This window comes from Homo sapiens, chromosome 13, assembly GCF_000001405.40.
Source record: "Homo sapiens chromosome 13, GRCh38.p14 Primary Assembly".
Taxonomy (NCBI): Eukaryota; Metazoa; Chordata; class Mammalia; order Primates; family Hominidae; genus Homo; species Homo sapiens.
In genome coordinates, this window is record NC_000013.11 from 110712323 (window position 1) to 110728707 (window position 16385).

The following is a 16385-nucleotide window of genomic DNA, read 5'->3' on the forward strand; positions in this document are numbered from 1 at the left end:
AGAGCAGGGTCCAAGGCGGAAGAAAATCAGAGAAAAGCAGGCAGCCAAGCGTGGCGAACACAGCTCTCGGGGCCACCCCGGAGGGGACCCGCGGCGGCCGCAGCGGGGCGGAGGCCGAAGCCGAGGCCGCCCCGGAACCAGAGAGCCAGGCGGGAAGTGCACAAAGGCACGAGGCCACGCCCAGGAGGGGCGGGCCCTTTGGCCGGAAGGGGGGGGGCCGGCGCGCGGGGCCGGTCGCCTAGGCAACGGGCTCGCGTGGCGTCCAGGCTTCTCAGAAAGCCCAAAATCCGGGAGCTTTGGGAGGGTAGAGGGGCGACGCGGGGGAGGGCGGTCCGGGGAGCTGAATGGCCTCAGGACGCCGGCCGACCGGGTGTCTGCATACTGTGGGCGGCCTTTCCAAGTGTGGGGAGCGGCCTCCGAGAACGGTGTCCATGACACAGGGCGGGAAGAGATAAGGCCTAGGGAAGGCGCCCCTCGGGCCTATCCACCTCTTCTGGGGCTCGGCACTAGGAAGCAGCTTCCCTCTCAGGCCCCTTTGTCTCCAAGCCGTTCCAAACTGAGTACCGGGAGACGACACAAAGGGAGGGCGGTGACGGATGGCGCAGGCGCGGGAGCCGCCTAGGCTGCTGGGAGTGGTGGTCCGGCCGCGGAATGGGTAGGTCTCCCGCGCACTCTGCGGCCGCAGCTCAAAGGACACCGAGAGGGTGCCAGTGCGCATGCGCCGCCACTTCCGCCCGTGCCCGGCCCTCCCCTTCCTTCCGCCTCCCGGAGGACTTGGGTTTCTAGTAGTAAGAGTCCGGGGGGCATTACTCACGGTCTCCCCGCCTCCTCTTCATCGTGATTGGGCTGTCAAAGTGATGTTGGCAAGTAGATTGGCTACTGCGGTTGCCAGTTCTGTTTCGGGCCCTACTTATACTGCTCTGTGGGGCGGGGACGAAGAGTCAGGGGCTGAGGAGCGAGTTGCGGTAGTTGCTGTGTACCATGGTCTCGGAGGTTTCTGTCCCGCGGCCCGTTAGGTCCTGGTCGGGTTTTCAGCGAAGCAGGCCGCTCCCCTGCGTTTCCCAGCGGGCGTGCTGTGCCGCCCAACAGGCTCTGCCTCCAAGTGCCAAAAACTCCTAGTAAAGTTTGCGCCTCGCCCGCCGTCCACACCCCAGCGGCCCTGACGCTGTCCCCTCCGCGACCCTCGCCTCTGGAAAAAGTGACAGGCAAGGCCACGCCCCCGCGAGGGCCGGCCTGGAGCCCGCAGCCCCCAGGGCCTGGGACGGTGAGGGGCGTGAATGCGGCGGGGGGCGGGGCCGTTGCCGGGGGAGGGGGCCGGGGCGCATGCGCGCTGCGCAGCGGGGCTGAATGTTTCCCAAGTGTTTGAAACTGGTATTTGGGTTTTCCACGTTGGACAAGTGCGGCTCGGCGGCCAGCGGAGCGCGCCCCTTCCCGCTGCCCGCTCCGCTCCTCTCTTCTACCCAGCCCAGTGGGCGAGTGGGCAGCGGCGGCCGCGGCGCTGGGCCCTCTCCCGCCGGTGTGTGCGCGCTCGTACGCGCGGCCCCCGGCGCCAGCCCCGCCGCCTGAGAGGGGGCCTGCGCCGCCGGCCGGGGCGTGCGCCCGGGAGCCACCGCCACCGCGGCCCGCGCCCTCAGGCGCTGGGGTCCCCGCGGACCCGGAGGCGGCGGACGGGCTCGGCAGATGTAGCCGCCGGGCCGAAGCAGGAGCCGGCGGGGGGGCGCCGGGAGAGCGAGGGCTTTGCATTTTGCAGTGCTATTTTTTGAGGGGGGCGGGGGGTGGAGGAAGCGGAAAGCCGCGCCGAGTCGCCGGGGACCTCCGGGGTGAACCATGTTGAGTCCTGCCAACGGGGAGCAGCTCCACCTGGTGAACTATGTGGAGGACTACCTGGACTCCATCGAGTCCCTGCCTTTCGACTTGCAGAGAAATGTCTCGCTGATGCGGGAGATCGACGCGAAATACCAAGGTACGGCCGGGTGATGGATGGGCGGGGGCGGCCGCCTCCTTCCCGGCGGGTCCGGGCGCGCCGCGGAGCCGGGCCGGTCCTGCCGTGGACCGGAGGAAGCGGCCGGCTCCGCAGCGGCGGCCCTCGGCAGGGGCAGGAACAAAAGGTCTGGAGCGCCTTTGATTCGCCAAGGTCCTTGTGTGCAAAGCCCGGGACACGGAGGAGGAAGGAGGCGCGAGAGGTCTCGCTGCAAGGCTGCGCGACCAAAGCGCTCTTTGTAGTGAAGTGATGAGGCGGGTGCTGCGGGGGAGGGGGCGGCGGGTCCAAGCCGCGTCCTCTAGGAGGGGGTGCAGATTACGGCGCGAGATGGAGGGATGTGCCGGCGCCTGGGGCTATAGGGCGCCGAGACGGGGCTGCAGGAGGAGGGCGGCTGTGGGCCGGGGTTCCCGCGGACCCGGTGCCTCGGTCCCGGGCAACGCCGTTCCTCTGGCCCTTCTTCGTCGCCCCCCACTCAGTCCCGAATCTGAGTGTTACATAAAGTACCGGGTAGTACTCCGCTCGGGGTAGGTCGGCCGCCCCCGCCCAGCCCCCTCCGGCCCTCACTTGGAGCTGGACACCGAGTAGGGGCCGACTGCGAGGGGCGACGCCGCCGGTTGTAGTTTGCGGAGGACGAGGGCTTTTCTCTGTGTGCCGTAGGGAAGGGAAGGGAAGGGGAGGAGCGGAGGCGGGGAAGGCGCCCATCTGCGCTGCGCTCGGGGGGGCGCGGGCAGATCGCTGGCTTGGAGAGGACTGTGGCAGGTGAGAGGACCTGTGCGTCGTTCTCTGCAGACCTGGCCGCCCCGGGTGTCAGAGAGAGGTGGCGAGTTCGTGTCCGCCGGGAATTGTTGGCTGTTGGGGAAACTTTCCTGCGAGGTCAGTCAAGGCTTTGGGGGCTCTGTTTTGAATGTGGATCACCACTCGGAGTTTACTAATGTTTACAAGGCTGCGCAGTAGGGAAACGGAAGAGTTGGGTGGGGGCAAAAAAAAAAATTGACCGCTATCCCCGAAAGTACTAGACGCCTCTGCCGGGAAGGCGCCCCTGCGCGTTCTATCCGAGACGTAGCTTCGCAGCGAATTTTATAGGAACTTCATTAGCATATTATGGAACGTCCCGCCTCAGCCCCCCAGTAGTTGGCTGTGATGTCCTTCGTGGAATGTCCTTATCATTCCCCTGCGGAACGATTGGTCGCTGAGGCGGATGAAGGCGGGCCTAGCGCAATAACTGGTATGGGTCTGTGTTTCCGCTGTCTTCTTTTTTCTTTTTCGGGGAGGAGCGGGGTGGAGGGTGGACGAGTTGATTTGAACGTCTTCGGGTCGCTCGGCCTCCAGCCTTGGATTGGTTCTTCTCGCTGCTGGGGCGGGCCGTGCTCTTCCGCCCTGCGGTGTGGTTGGTTCTCCTCCTGGCCTCCGCCCTCCAAATCGGCGATTCCCATAGGCGGCGGCTCTCGGGGTGCGGGGCGAGTCTCCCGCTGGCCTCCTCCCCATTGGCTGGAGGCCTGGCGGGTGTCGCCCCGGCCCCTCTCCCCGCTCAGCCCGGCCACTTTCGGGCGCGGATTTATAGCAGTAGCAGTGATCCCGGGCCTGTGGGCTCGGGGCCGGGGCTGCAGTTCGGACCGCCTCCCGCGACCCGCGGGGCCGGCTCGGAGACAGTTTCAGGCCGCATCTCTGCTGACCCGAGGGTGGGGCCGCGCGTGGCCGTGGAAACGTGAGTGACTGGGGCTGCGTCCACGAGGGGGACCCTCGGCGCAGAAACTTTTCTGGAAGGTGCTGTCCTCGGGCCGGACGGGCCCCGTGGGGTGACCCTGGGGCTCCGGACGGAAGGAAGGCAGGGGCTGAGACCACTTTGATCGTTCGACGATAGAAAAAAGTAGCGCGGGGCGGGGTGCAGGGTTCCAGCTGTCCAGACAGCAAAGTTCATGGAGCCACTTTGTCCTCCTGTCGTTGCTGGGGAGAGCCTGGCTTGCTGCTTGCTTCATGTTCACCTAGGGTGATGAACTTTTTGGCTTCAGGAAAGATCACAGTCCTGCCCCCCCGGGAGTACTGGAGCGGCGCAGCTGGGAGCGCCGAGAAGCGAGCGAATCTGTCGCAAGGGTCACAGCTCCTTGGACTTCGGTGTAAATGCTGAGCTCTGCCGCGTAGTTCTGAAAGACTTCCACAGACCTACTCTGTAGGAAGTCAAACGTCTTTTGCTTAGTAGGCATCAGTTGTATGTTAATTCATAAACTTGGATTATAATTAGTTTGTCGATTTAAAATGGTGTTTGAGGTTGCTTGAATTATTTTTCAAACATTATCATAAAAATACCCACCCACCCCCTGGGAAGTTCGCTTCATAAAGAACTTCAGTGCAACCCGTATGTAAAATTAAAATACATTTAAAATAATTGGACAAACCAATTTAAATGTTGCTACAACCCCATTTAATCTGTAAATTGCATGTGCTGCTGCTTTCCATGGTAATGTTGGTGTGGAATATGTTTGGAAAAAAGGCAGTAGTGTCTGAAGCTGAGTTGCTGGCATTGAAAAAGCAGAGTGTCTGGAAGGATGGCTTCCTATTTAGCAGTGGTGTTGTTCCTGTTTATAAATATTTGTACTTAGTGGCTTTGTTGATAAAATACTTTGCTTGGAGTATCAAAGAAATATTAGGTAACAGAAATACTTCTTGGTAATTTTGCGATGGGATATCTGTTTCTCTTGCCCACAAATTAGGCTTCACCTGGATGGAAGCTTGCTTGTGATGTAAAATAACTTCTGTGTTATTAAATTTTAAATTTATATGATACAGTTTTCTGTGAAATGACAATATTGTCTTTAGAACTTTGATTACTGATGAAAAGAAGTGATACCATTTTGTAACCCTAAATCCATTTAAAAATAAATGGTACACATATTTTAACATTATGATAAATAAGTTGAATAAATTGGTATTACTTGGATACGTTGAACACAGCTATTTATTTTTATAATTAATTACTATATGAGACTAGGGCTTTCCTCCTGGTGGCAGGCAGCCTGCATTGTTCCTCTAGGAGTCTTCAAAGCTGTCTTTAGTTTGAGAATATACTCTGGAAAATATTACCATTTAGAGAAGCTTCAGCGTTGGCCTGAGTTCTTATGTTTACTCTAGTGTTAGGTATATGTCTTATAACTATTTGGAGATAAGATCTGGAAAGGAAGGGGGTAACATTTTAGACAATCCCTCCCACTCTCAGCCCCTCCCCTAGTTTACAAGTAGTATTGTTGGCCAGGCACGGTGGCTCACTCCTGTAATCCCAGCACCATGGGAGACCGAGGCGGGCGGATCACCTGAGGTCGAGAGTTGGGAGACCAGCCTGTCCAACATGGAGACACCCTGTCTCTACTGAAAATACAGAATTAGCCGGGCGTGGTATTACATGCCTGTAATCCCAGCTACTCGGGAGGCTGAGGCAGGAGAATCGCTTGAACCTGGGAGGCAGGTTGCAGTGAGCTGAGATCGCGCCATTGCACTCCAGCCTGGGCAACAAGAGTGAAACTCCGTTTCAACAACAACAAAAAAAGGTAGTATTGTTGCCTTGTTTAAAGAGACTGCAAAAAGGTTTTAGGAGAATAATCTGGTACTGTTTAATTTAATGGTTACTGTTTGAGGAAAAAGAACTCTGGAATTTCTGTGTATTTAAGTAGCCTTTTTAGCAAGGCTGTTTACTTCAACTAGATTTTTTAATAGCTTTTGTTTCTTGAGAAATTGCCTAATTACACTTGCCAAATTACACTTTAAAATCATATACACTGTCCTCTAACATGCCCAGGAAGGTTTACATTTAAATACTGAAGAGGTTTTCTTTTGTTTTTGATAACATTTTAAAGTCCATTGACTTTAACAGATGTGAAGATGTTTTTGTTTAAGCAGTAGATGCAAAAGTAAAACCTACCAGCTTCGCTTTAAAGCAAGGCTAGTGCATTCACTGCAGTTAAAAAATAATAATAATAGCCCATCACAGTGGTGCTTCTGTAGTCCCAGCTACTCAGGAGGCTGAGGTGGGAGGGTCCCTTGAACCTGGGAGGTCGAGGCTGCAGTGAGCCGAGATTGCACCACTGCACTCCAGCCTGGGCGACAGAGACGGACCTTGTCTCCAAAATAATAACAAGTCGTAATAATAATAAAGCAAAGCTAGGTTTTCTGGATTATTGTGGCAGAACTGTTCTTGCTGTCACTAATACAGAGGGATAACATGCTAGAATAAATGTGGGGACTGAAACTGAGGACCTAAGTCACAAAGTATCCTGGACCTTTACTGTTAACCCGGTTCTTTAAATCATAGAGAGCTATTATATAAATTTATACACATTCTCTCATTTAACAGGGTATTCTAGATGTTGGTATATTAAAATAAAGAAAATAAAGACCTTTTTTATTTGAAATATTCAAATAATTTATAATATATTTTATTAATGTTTGTATATTGTGTATAAATGTAATAAATACCATGTTTATATAATGTTATATGTATATTAATAATTGTATTCAAATAGAAACATTTGAGTAAAAATGATGGCAGTATAGACATAGTCATTAATAGAAAGTATTAATAAATGTTGGGTCCCGAGCACTGCACCTCATTTAAACGTTTCCTCTTAATGGCTTCGGGCGTTGTCACCCGTGCGTGCCTGGGAACTGTTCTCAGGTTCCCTGGGGTGGCTGGAGCGGCTCCTGCCGCTGTGGAAGCTGGGCCGGCATTTGTGTTGTGTTGTGTTGTGTTGTGTTGTGTTGTGGTTAGCACAGGAACAGATAGGCCCGGGAGAGCCTGTGGCTGGTGGGCTTTGTTCTGGGCAAGCCGTGCGCTGGCCCCTAGGCTCCCTGCCAGCCCTCTCCGTAGACCCGTCCGGGGCCGTGTGGGTTGTCCCGGTGTCCTGCTCGCGAGTGACGCCTGTCCTTCTTGCCCCCAGAGATCCTGAAGGAGCTAGACGAGTGCTACGAGCGCTTCAGTCGCGAGACAGACGGGGCGCAGAAGCGGCGGATGCTGCACTGTGTGCAGCGCGCGCTGATCCGCAGCCAGGAGCTGGGCGACGAGAAGATCCAGATCGTGAGCCAGATGGTGGAGCTGGTGGAGAACCGCACGCGGCAGGTGGACAGCCACGTGGAGCTGTTCGAGGCGCAGCAGGAGCTGGGCGACACAGCGGGCAACAGCGGCAAGGCTGGCGCGGACAGGCCCAAAGGCGAGGCGGCAGCGCAGGCTGACAAGCCCAACAGCAAGCGCTCACGGCGGCAGCGCAACAACGAGAACCGTGAGAACGCGTCCAGCAACCACGACCACGACGACGGCGCCTCGGGCACACCCAAGGAGAAGAAGGCCAAGACCTCCAAGAAGAAGAAGCGCTCCAAGGCCAAGGCGGAGCGAGAGGCGTCCCCTGCCGACCTCCCCATCGACCCCAACGAACCCACGTACTGTCTGTGCAACCAGGTCTCCTATGGGGAGATGATCGGCTGCGACAACGACGAGTGCCCCATCGAGTGGTTCCACTTCTCGTGCGTGGGGCTCAATCATAAACCCAAGGGCAAGTGGTACTGTCCCAAGTGCCGGGGGGAGAACGAGAAGACCATGGACAAAGCCCTGGAGAAATCCAAAAAAGAGAGGGCTTACAACAGGTAGTTTGTGGACAGGCGCCTGGTGTGAGGAGGACAAAATAAACCGTGTATTTATTACATTGCTGCCTTTGTTGAGGTGCAAGGAGTGTAAAATGTATATTTTTAAAGAATGTTAGTAAAGGAACCATTCCTTTCATAGGGATGGCAGTGATTCTGTTTGCCTTTTGTTTTCATTGGTACACGTGTAACAAGAAAGTGGTCTGTGGATCAGCATTTTAGAAACTACAAATATAGGTTTGATTCAACACTTAAGTCTCAGACTGATTTCTTGCGGGAGGAGGGGGACTAAACTCAACCTAACACATTAAATGTGGAAGGAAAATATTTCATTTAGCTTTTTTATTTTAATACAAGTAATATTATTACTTTATGAACAATTTTTTTTAATTGGCCATGTCGCCAAAAATACAGCCTATAGTAAATGTGTTTCTTGCTGCCATGATGTATATCCATATAACAATTCAGTAACAAAGGTTTAAAGTTTGAAGATTATTTTTTAAAAAGGTAAATGGTTAAATTTTACATGACAGATATTTTATCTATTGGCCTGTTCCCCAAATGGCCATTTTAAAATGCTTGGGTACACTTCTCTTAAGTGGTCTAGTCAAGGAACCTCAAGTCATGCTTTTGCTATCACCAATCATAGTGTACCCATCTTTAATTTATATCAGGTGTATAAATGTACATTTCCAAATGAACTTGCACTTGTTATATTATAATTGGAAGTGCAGTCAGCAGATGCTGTTGTGAAGCTAATGTCACAATTATGTGCAAAGGTGTGCTTCCTGCTGTATGTGAGCTGTAAAAATGTTACGTGAAGAAATAAATGAAACTTGGCCAGTTTGTTCCTCTAGTAGTATATTTAATTTTGACATAAGTAACTTTTAAAATTTGTCTTAAAAATTTATACACCAGCAATTTAGACAAAGCCTTAAGCAAATTTTGTATTATTGTTCTCACTTATTATTAATAATGAAGTAGAAGTTACTTAATTGCCAGCAAATAAATACGTGTCAAAAAAGAATCTGTATTCAGACCCTGGGTCAGGAAATTACTGCCCACTTGTCAAGTTCAGCCCACCATCTGTTTGAAGATTATATGAAGTTTAAATTCTAGTGTCCATAAATAAAGTTTCAGCGGAACACAGCCGTGCTTATGTGCGTATGTATTGTCTGACTGCTTTTGCAAAACGGCAGAGTTCAATAGTTGCACCTGAAACCATTTGACTTGACAAGCCAAAACTATTTTCTGGCCCTCTGCAGAAAGGGTTTGCTGACCTCTGATTTAGACTAGCATCTAACATTGATTTGCCCACATATTGAAAGGGTCAGTGGAGTTTTCATTTATTATTTTTTATTTTTTTGAGATTGAGTTCCAGGCTGGAGTGCAATAGCGCAATCTTGGCTCACCGCAACCTCCGCCTCCCAGGTTCAAGCGATTGTCCTGCCTCAGCCTCCCCAGTAGCTAGGATTACAGGCATGCACCACCACGCCTGGCTAATTTTGTATTTTCAGTAGAGACGCGGTTTCTCCATGTTGGTCATGGCTGGTCTCGCACTCCCGACCTCAGGTGATCCACCTGCCTCAGCCTTCCAAAGTGCTGGGATTACAGGTGTGAGCCACCGTGCCCGGCTGGAGTTTTCATTTTTTTTTTTTTTTTTTTTTCTGAGATGGAGTCTCACTCTGTCTCCAGGCTAGAGTGCAGTGGCCCAGTCTTGGCTCACTGCAACCTCTGCCTCTCGGGTTCAAGCGATTCTCTTGCCTCAGCCTCCCGAGTAGCTGGGACTACAGGTGCGTGCCACCATGCCCAGCTAATTTTTGTATTTTTAGTAGAGATGGGTTTTCACCATGTTGGCCAGTATGGTCTCGAGCTCTTGACCATGATCCGCCCACCTCGGCCTCCCACAGTGCTGGGATTACAGGCGTGAGCCACCGTGCGCTGAGTGATACGTGGTTCCCTTTAACTTCGCACATGGTAAAATCAGTTTCTTTCCATGATCTGTTTCACAGTCTCTGTGAAGCTACCTACCACAAAGAAGTAGTGAGTGATGACTTTCTAGAATCTAAGTATATGGCATGTATTTATTATAAGTAAAACATTAAGTTTGCTGATTGTTTACTTGTGATAAACAATTATTGTGAACTTTATTTGTGCTGGACATAAGTGTCTGTTTTACAGTGAAATTCCATTATAGAGGGTTACTTGGTAGAGAAATGCAAATTGTAGTTGGTCATATACTAAAATTTGAACTTTTTACATATCAATACTTACAAATAGGTGTTTATTTTCCCACAAAACTCCAGAACATTTAAGAGTCTCGGGTGTTTAAATTTGATGAGATTTACCCAAACAAATAGTGAACAAAAGGTTTATGAAAATAAGTTATGAAACTAAAATACTTAATAAACATCCAGTGACAATAAAAATAGCTTGAGTCTTTGCTTATATAAAATTTCATGCTAATTTTTCACTTCTATATTAATTGGAGGTAATAATGCAAATTAAGTTATAGAAATGAAGATTCAATGAAATGCAGTTGCTCATCCTGGATTTCTTCATATTCAGTTTTGGTGTAGACAACTGGTGAAGAGAGATGGCTCAGAGGCCAAGCCTTGCAATCTAGGAGCCCAGCCCTGTCCTTTAAGGGCTTGATCTTGAATAAATTGCTTAACAGTTGGTCTATAGTTCTACACTTTTAAAGTATGTTTCACAGAGGGTGGTTCCAATAAATAAATGCACTGGCATATTCAAATGTTGGATAATTTTTCTCTAGCTTTCTTCAAGTTTCTCATAAGGACAGGTGGGTAGCCACTTATTCTTTAAAAAAAAATAGATACAATACAGAGTCGTGTTGGACTGGCAGTCTTAAATCACTCTTGTTATTTCCAGTGGACATTAAAAAAAAATCACAGATAAGTACTTAAAACACTCAAGATTTGGGATTTAGATCATGATTAGATACAATAGAAAGATCCTGGAATCCCGACATGAGGACAAAAATGGTACTGAATTCTTTTTGAAAAATAGATTACTGAAAAGCGATCTAATATAGAACAGTTGCTTTTACTTAGATGTTCAATGCATATTTGTTGTATAATAACCAAGTTATTACAGTTCAGATAAAGGGTCCAAAGTGTTTTCGTTATGATATAATACTTTCTATTGTAAACTGGACTAAAGAAACGTTGTATGTTCAAGGAAGTGTTGAGCAGCCATGGTGTTCCTGGGACAGGCTCCCCAGGTGCTGAGAGAGGTGCTGCAGGAGTCACAGACCTGCAGGCACGCACTTGCCAGTGACTGGGACGTTGGCTGGTGGTTCTCTTTTGGTGTGATTAGAGCTATGTGAGTTGTCTCAATACTTGAGACTGTCGGTGGTTGCCAATGCTGAATAAAGCATTTATCAAAGTAAAAGCCATTTCCTCTTATTATATATTATTTTAGAAAGAGTACACATTTAGTTGTGATATCCTTTTGTAGTTCACATTTATGTAGTGTTCCAGGTAATAAGTTACCTGGAACTTACCTGAACACTTCAATATTTCATTAAAGTATTAAATCTTTTTCTTAGGCAAAATGATTAAGAGCTTCATCTGTGCACTTCTAAAGACATGATGTGCTCTCGAGGACATCTAGCTTTTTTCCTTCTATCTAATGTAATTTATGGCTCTAGAATCCTTGGCATATATGGAGAGAGGTTTTATTGATACTGTCTGCCTCCCTCTCCATTTTAGCGTGTAGAATGTGCCTCTTTCATCGCAGAGTCCAGGCAGTTCTCAGCACCTTGGGGGCTAGATTTCCGGGGTTTTTTTAATCTGGAAAAATTGCTAGTCCGTGACTGCATTTCTTGAGGCACTCGTGTTCTCTGCACAGGCTCTCATTGTGAACTCGTGGAGGGCTTAGGAAGACACCGCTAATGGGAAGGAGGTGGGAGAGCAAATGTGTGTTGTGTTACTAAGTCAAAATTGCCTCCTGAGGCTTTTTATGAGGGGCTTTGTTTCAGAGTATTTATTTTAACTATTCCGTCTTTGTTTTTTAAGCAGCTCATCAGTGAGAATCCAACTATTACATTTTTTTCTAACAAACCAAACATTAGTGAGCTGTGCCCCCTGTGCCACCAAAAGAATGAGAGGAATTCTATAACTGGAATGAAGAAAATCATTAGGCCAGTTCTCTTTCCTTACCTCAAATACTCTGTATTACTTGACTGTTCATAAAGATGGGGTTGGTATTTTTCCAATTAAAAACCCCAATCTGAAAAGAAGCTACTACAAACTGAGTAACAGGTTAAATCTTTTTTTTTTTTTTTTTTGTTTCCCCTGAGACGGTGTCTTGCTCTGTCACCCAGGCTGGGGTGTAGTGGCCTGATCTTAACTCACTGCAACCTCTGCCTCCTGGGTTCAGCGATTCTCCTGCCTCAGCCTCCCGAGTTGCTGGGATTAGAGGCATGCACCACTACGCCCAGCTAATTTTTTTGTATTTTTGGTAGAGATAGAGTCGCACCATGTTGGCCAGACGGTCACAAACTCCCGATCTCGTGATCCGCCCGCCTCAGCCTCCTAAAGTGCTGGGATTACAGGTGTGAGCCGCCACGCCCAGCCCAGGTTAAATCTTGACTGGAGCCAGTAAACTCCATTAAAGTAAAATTTTTCTTTTTCTTTTTTCTTTTCTTTTTTTTTTTTTTTTGAGACAGAGTCTTGCTCTTGTTGCCCAGGCTGGAGTGCAATGGCACGATCTCGGCTCACTGCAACCTTCGCCTCCTGGGTTCAAGCTATTCACCTGCTGCAGCCTCCCGAGTAGCTGGGATTACAGGCGTGTGCCACCAAACCCGGCTAATTTTTGTATTTTTAGTAGAGACAGGGTTTTACCATGTTGGCCAGGCTGGTCTTGAACTCCTGACCTCTGGTGATCCACCTGCCTCAGCTTCCCAAAGTGCTGGGACTACAGGTGTGAGCCACCGTGCCTGGCTAAAGTAGAAATTTTCTTTTTTTCTTTTTTTTTTTTTGAAGTGGTTAGAAAAATTTATTTTGTGCTTAGGATTTTTTTCTTTTTCTTTTTTCCTTTTTTTTTTTTGAGACGGATTTTTGCTCTTGTTGCCCAGGCTGGAGTGTAATGGCGCAATCTTGGCTCACTGCAGCCTCCGTCTCCTGGGTTCAAGAGATTTTCCTGCCTCAGCCTCCCAAGTAGCTGGGATTACAGGCAGGCGCCACCACGCCACACCCAGCTAATTTTGTATTTTTAGTAGAGACGGGGTTTCTCCATGTTGGTGAGGCTGGTCTCGAACTCCTGACCTCAGGTGATCCACCCGCCTCAGCCTCCCAAAGTGCTGGGATTACAGGCATGAGCTACAGCACCTAGCCCCTTAGGATATTTTTCTAAGGCATCACAAGTTACACATCCAAACTCTTCAATGGTATAATATTTTATATTAAAGTAGAATTTTCTACGAAACAAGAAAATGCTTGTTTCAGCAGGCAACTTTAAATAAAGGTACTCAGTGTCGTGGTGTATGTATATCAATATAGCCACCATTTATTGCCTCCTATATGCTAGACATTGCTAGCACTGCATACTTCATATTTTATGACAACCCTGCCAAAAAATGGCTGCTTTTCCTGATGAAGGTGCTGAGACTCCAGCCAGGGACCTGACTTGCACAAGGCCAACGCCCTGCATCTGGCTCCAAAACCAGCATCCTTGACCACCGCCTGGCACCCGGAGGCCTCCTCATGGTCAGGACCTGGCGTTGCTGCTGGTCTTCCCTGAACGCCTAACATGCCAGGAGTGTGCTGTCCTCCCAGCTCTGTGGGGGTCTTACAACTGAGAAAGCCATAGAAGGTGAAAGAAACGCTCATGGTCTCACGGGAGGAGAGAGCGAAAAAGTCTTAATTGCTGGGCTTCTTTGCCTGAATGAAGGGATCTGCAGGAGCCACGGGTATTTGCACTACCAAGTTCTCATGCTTCTGATTTTCCTCCAGGTAAACCAGGATGCTTACTTCAAGTTTCTTGTTTTGCCCTACAGTGAATTTTAGGATTGTAATTTACCTGCAAGGTTTTTGTTTGTTTGTTTTGTTTTGTTTTTTCGAGATGGAGTTTCGCCCAAGCTGGAGTGCAATGGCGCAATCTCTGCTCACTGCAACCTTCGCCTCCCGGGTTCAAGCAATTCTCCTGCGTTAGCCACCCGAGTAGCTGGGATTACAGGCACGCGCCACCACACCTGGCTAATTTTGTATTTTTAGTAGAGACGGGGTTTCTCCATGTTGGTGAGGCTGGTCTTGAACTCCTGACCTCAGGTGATCCGCCCGCCTCGGCCTCCCAAAGTACTGGGATTACAGGCATGAGCCACCGTGCCCAGCCTACCTGCAAGGTTTTAAGCAATTCACTAGGAGCCATGCACGGTGCTAGAATCAGCATGAGAGTCAAAGTCAGATTTGAATCAGGACTAGTTTATCACAGGTTAACCTCAAGGAAGTCACTCTTCTGTACCCAATGTTCTCAGAAGCAAAATAAGGACAGTGATAATGCCCATCCCAGGAGTGGAGGCCCAGACTTGTTAATGTCTGAAAATACTTCAGAAATGCTAGAGCACTGTACAGATAACAATTTGAGTAATATTTTTGGTCAAATTATTCTAGTTTAACACATGTATTCTTAAAAAATGGACTTGTGATTCCTTACAGCTAAAGAGAATCAAGTCCACCCTTAGCATGTTAGCGGTCACTGCCAGGTTCCTGCTGCACGAGGAGGAAGTCCTCCATGGCTGCTTTTCTATAAACAATTCCATTTCTCGTTGTAGAACACAGAAGTAAATACATCGAATTTTTATTTTTAGTAGCAATCAGAGCCTACTAAACTTCCTTTTGACTCACCTCTTGATTGAATTCAGAGTAGGCAGAAAATCTCATTCAATCTCTTCACTGTGTGGGTGAGGAAACCGAGGCCCAAGGGTGATGAAGCCACTTCCTCAAAGGCACTCCGTGAGTTGGTGGTGGGGCTGCCGGCAGGATGAAGTGCTGTTACTCCAGGCCAGAGCCACTCCCCCGCTTCATCAGCCATGCTGTTTCATGGGTGCACCTGTTCTCATTTATGTGGACGTTAGGAACCGTGGGTCTCTCGTGTTAAGCCATAGGCCTTTAATAAAGACGTGTAGAGTAAAGCCTGAATCCAAGAATTGACATTTAAACATGAAACATTTTCTTTTCTAACTTGGAAACCAGTTCTAAAAACACACCTAAAAGGGAATTTCAGTTTGATTTGTGTGAAGGGAATATTTTTGGATAAATCTGTATGCCATTGGAAATGCAATATTTCTAAATGATTAATATTTGAGACATTAATGTAATGAGACATGTAATGTCATGTAATGTAACGAGACATGTAATGACATGTAATGTCATTACATATTTGAGACATGTAATATTTGAGACATTAATGTAATATTTTTATTACATTTAATAAATTTTATTTTTATTATAAAATTTTTATTATAAAATTTTATAAAAACAAATGTAATGATCAATCACAGAGTTTAACAATGTATCCATTTACAAAGATGCCTGGAAACAGTTTGCTGTCTCCCAAAGTGTTTATTTAACATAAGAAATTGTTAGATAAATACTTATTTTCTCTATTATTTGAGCATCTTTTGGTTGCAAGTAACAATAATTGACTATGTCTCAAGCAAAGACAGGAAAGATAAGAGAAGTGTCAGAAAATTCAGGAATCGGAAGAGCAATGAGGACACCGCAGCAAGGATTTTTCTCTGCAGCACAGATGTGTTCAGACACAGTGCGGACCAGGTGGAGACCCATCCACGAGGCTCACCGTGGCCAAGGGGTAGATGGTGTGGTGGACACTGAGCTGCTGGAGTCTGTTGTGGACAGTCAGGTGCTATGTTAGAGCAAATCTTTCCATTTTAAAAACACTTCCCCGGCCAGGTGTGGTGGCTCAAGCCTGTAATCCCAGCATTTAGGGAGGCTGAGCCGGGTGGATCACAAGGTCAGAAGGTTGAGACCATCCTGGCCGACATGGTGAAACCCCGTTTCTACTAAAAATACAAAAAATTAGCCAGGCGTGGTGGCACTTGCCTGTAGTCCCAGCTACTCGGGAGGCTGAGGCAGGAGAATCACTTGAACCCGGGAGTCAGAGGTTGCAGTGAGTCGAGATCATGCCACTGCACTCCAACCTGGGCGACAGAGCGAGTCTCCGTCTCAAAAACAAAACCAAAACCAAAAACAAACACTTGCCCTGATAGGTGCTGTGTTTGAATAGACGCTTGTGCCACCCTGACAGCTACTGGCTCTGGCTTAATTCTTTTCCCTTTAATTGGGATGTGTTCAGGGAATGGAAATTAATTTTTGTATTTTAAAGTAAGTAAAAGTTAGATGGAAGAGGGGAAATTATAGTTTTCCATGGCCAATATACACAATTTTCAAAATATTTATGACTCTTTGCACCATCAATCTGTTCCATAAACATGAGAAATTAGAAGTCAACTAACAATGAAATACTTTTATGACACAAAGATCTTCAATAATATGAGGTAGTTGAAAGTCAAGATATACAAGGATGACCTTCCTTGGCATCTTGGAAGGCTGGTAAGAACCATTTCACTTTGCAAATTTTGAAAACTACACTCGACCAAGAAGTTTAATTCTTTTTTTTTTCTTTCTTTTTTTTTTTTTTTGAGATGGAGTCTTGCTCTGTCTCCCAGGCTGGAGTGCAATGGCACGATCTCAGCTCACTGCAACCTCCGCCTCCTGGGTTCAAACGATTCTCATGT

The 16385-nt window shown here is 48.1% G+C and overlaps 2 protein-coding genes across 6 annotated transcripts in view, besides 16 other annotated features; one reads left to right on the forward strand and one right to left on the reverse strand.

The window, feature by feature from the left end:
* Positions 1–1200, reverse strand: part of CARS2 (cysteinyl-tRNA synthetase 2, mitochondrial) — a 72113-nt gene extending 70913 nt beyond the window's left edge. Inside the window, exon 1 of the mRNA XM_006719953.4 lies at positions 815–1200. The gene's annotated coding sequence lies outside the window, so the exon portion shown is untranslated. The remainder of the gene's footprint in view (positions 1–814) is intronic.
* Positions 35–374: a silencer, noted in NCBI's record as "silent region_5510". NCBI's record gives its function as "represses an Ori minimal core promoter by ATAC-STARR-seq in GM12878 lymphoblastoid cells {active_cell/tissue: GM12878}" and the evidence as "EXISTENCE:reporter gene assay evidence [ECO:0000049][PMID:35858748]".
* Positions 48–216: a silencer, noted in NCBI's record as "fragment chr13:111364717-111364885 (GRCh37/hg19 assembly coordinates)". NCBI's record gives its function as "represses an EF-1alpha promoter that drives an FKBP-Casp9 reporter gene in an ReSE screen in K562 erythroleukemia cells {active_cell/tissue: K562}" and the evidence as "EXISTENCE:reporter gene assay evidence [ECO:0000049][PMID:32094911]".
* On the forward strand, positions 301–11017 carry ING1 (inhibitor of growth family member 1). 5 transcript variants are annotated; one of them, NM_198217.3, is made up of 2 exons: positions 301–655; positions 6907–11017. In NM_198217.3, exons 1-2 carry the CDS (start codon positions 652–654, stop codon positions 7608–7610), a joined length of 708 nt encoding a protein of 235 aa, NP_937860.1. In that variant the 5' UTR covers positions 301–651; the 3' UTR covers positions 7611–11017.
* Positions 495–544: an enhancer, noted in NCBI's record as "active region_8012". NCBI's record gives its function as "activates an Ori minimal core promoter by ATAC-STARR-seq in GM12878 lymphoblastoid cells {active_cell/tissue: GM12878}" and the evidence as "EXISTENCE:reporter gene assay evidence [ECO:0000049][PMID:35858748]".
* Positions 1215–1564: a silencer, noted in NCBI's record as "silent region_5511". NCBI's record gives its function as "represses an Ori minimal core promoter by ATAC-STARR-seq in GM12878 lymphoblastoid cells {active_cell/tissue: GM12878}" and the evidence as "EXISTENCE:reporter gene assay evidence [ECO:0000049][PMID:35858748]".
* Positions 1575–1764: a silencer, noted in NCBI's record as "silent region_5512". NCBI's record gives its function as "represses an Ori minimal core promoter by ATAC-STARR-seq in GM12878 lymphoblastoid cells {active_cell/tissue: GM12878}" and the evidence as "EXISTENCE:reporter gene assay evidence [ECO:0000049][PMID:35858748]".
* Positions 1925–2214: a silencer, noted in NCBI's record as "silent region_5513". NCBI's record gives its function as "represses an Ori minimal core promoter by ATAC-STARR-seq in GM12878 lymphoblastoid cells {active_cell/tissue: GM12878}" and the evidence as "EXISTENCE:reporter gene assay evidence [ECO:0000049][PMID:35858748]".
* Positions 2305–2564: a silencer, noted in NCBI's record as "silent region_5514". NCBI's record gives its function as "represses an Ori minimal core promoter by ATAC-STARR-seq in GM12878 lymphoblastoid cells {active_cell/tissue: GM12878}" and the evidence as "EXISTENCE:reporter gene assay evidence [ECO:0000049][PMID:35858748]".
* Positions 2605–2674: a silencer, noted in NCBI's record as "silent region_5515". NCBI's record gives its function as "represses an Ori minimal core promoter by ATAC-STARR-seq in GM12878 lymphoblastoid cells {active_cell/tissue: GM12878}" and the evidence as "EXISTENCE:reporter gene assay evidence [ECO:0000049][PMID:35858748]".
* Positions 3185–3354: an enhancer, noted in NCBI's record as "active region_8013". NCBI's record gives its function as "activates an Ori minimal core promoter by ATAC-STARR-seq in GM12878 lymphoblastoid cells {active_cell/tissue: GM12878}" and the evidence as "EXISTENCE:reporter gene assay evidence [ECO:0000049][PMID:35858748]".
* Positions 3445–3724: a silencer, noted in NCBI's record as "silent region_5516". NCBI's record gives its function as "represses an Ori minimal core promoter by ATAC-STARR-seq in GM12878 lymphoblastoid cells {active_cell/tissue: GM12878}" and the evidence as "EXISTENCE:reporter gene assay evidence [ECO:0000049][PMID:35858748]".
* Positions 3445–4225: a biological region, named in NCBI's record as "H3K27ac hESC enhancer GRCh37_chr13:111368201-111368894".
* Positions 3532–4225: an enhancer, noted in NCBI's record as "H3K27ac hESC enhancer chr13:111368201-111368894 (GRCh37/hg19 assembly coordinates)". NCBI's record gives its function as "activates a minimal SCP1, AML or CMV promoter by ChIP-STARR-seq in primed H9 embryonic stem cells {active_cell/tissue: H9 hESC(primed)}" and the evidence as "EXISTENCE:reporter gene assay evidence [ECO:0000049][PMID:30033119]".
* Positions 3755–3804: a silencer, noted in NCBI's record as "silent region_5517". NCBI's record gives its function as "represses an Ori minimal core promoter by ATAC-STARR-seq in GM12878 lymphoblastoid cells {active_cell/tissue: GM12878}" and the evidence as "EXISTENCE:reporter gene assay evidence [ECO:0000049][PMID:35858748]".
* Positions 4095–4184: an enhancer, noted in NCBI's record as "active region_8014". NCBI's record gives its function as "activates an Ori minimal core promoter by ATAC-STARR-seq in GM12878 lymphoblastoid cells {active_cell/tissue: GM12878}" and the evidence as "EXISTENCE:reporter gene assay evidence [ECO:0000049][PMID:35858748]".
* Positions 6948–7639: an enhancer, noted in NCBI's record as "H3K27ac-H3K4me1 hESC enhancer chr13:111371617-111372308 (GRCh37/hg19 assembly coordinates)". NCBI's record gives its function as "activates a minimal SCP1, AML or CMV promoter by ChIP-STARR-seq in naive H9 embryonic stem cells {active_cell/tissue: H9 hESC(naive)}" and the evidence as "EXISTENCE:reporter gene assay evidence [ECO:0000049][PMID:30033119]".
* Positions 14306–14445: an enhancer, noted in NCBI's record as "active region_8015". NCBI's record gives its function as "activates an Ori minimal core promoter by ATAC-STARR-seq in GM12878 lymphoblastoid cells {active_cell/tissue: GM12878}" and the evidence as "EXISTENCE:reporter gene assay evidence [ECO:0000049][PMID:35858748]".

Coding starts and splice junctions, on each gene's coding strand:
- ING1 (NM_198219.3), top strand. CDS start 1,828: ATGTTGAGTCCTGCCAACGGGGAGCAGCTCCACCTGGTGAACTATGTG. Junction 1,964..6,906: donor GATCGACGCGAAATACCAAG/GTACGGCCGGGT, acceptor TCTTGCCCCCAG/AGATCCTGAAGGAGCTAGAC.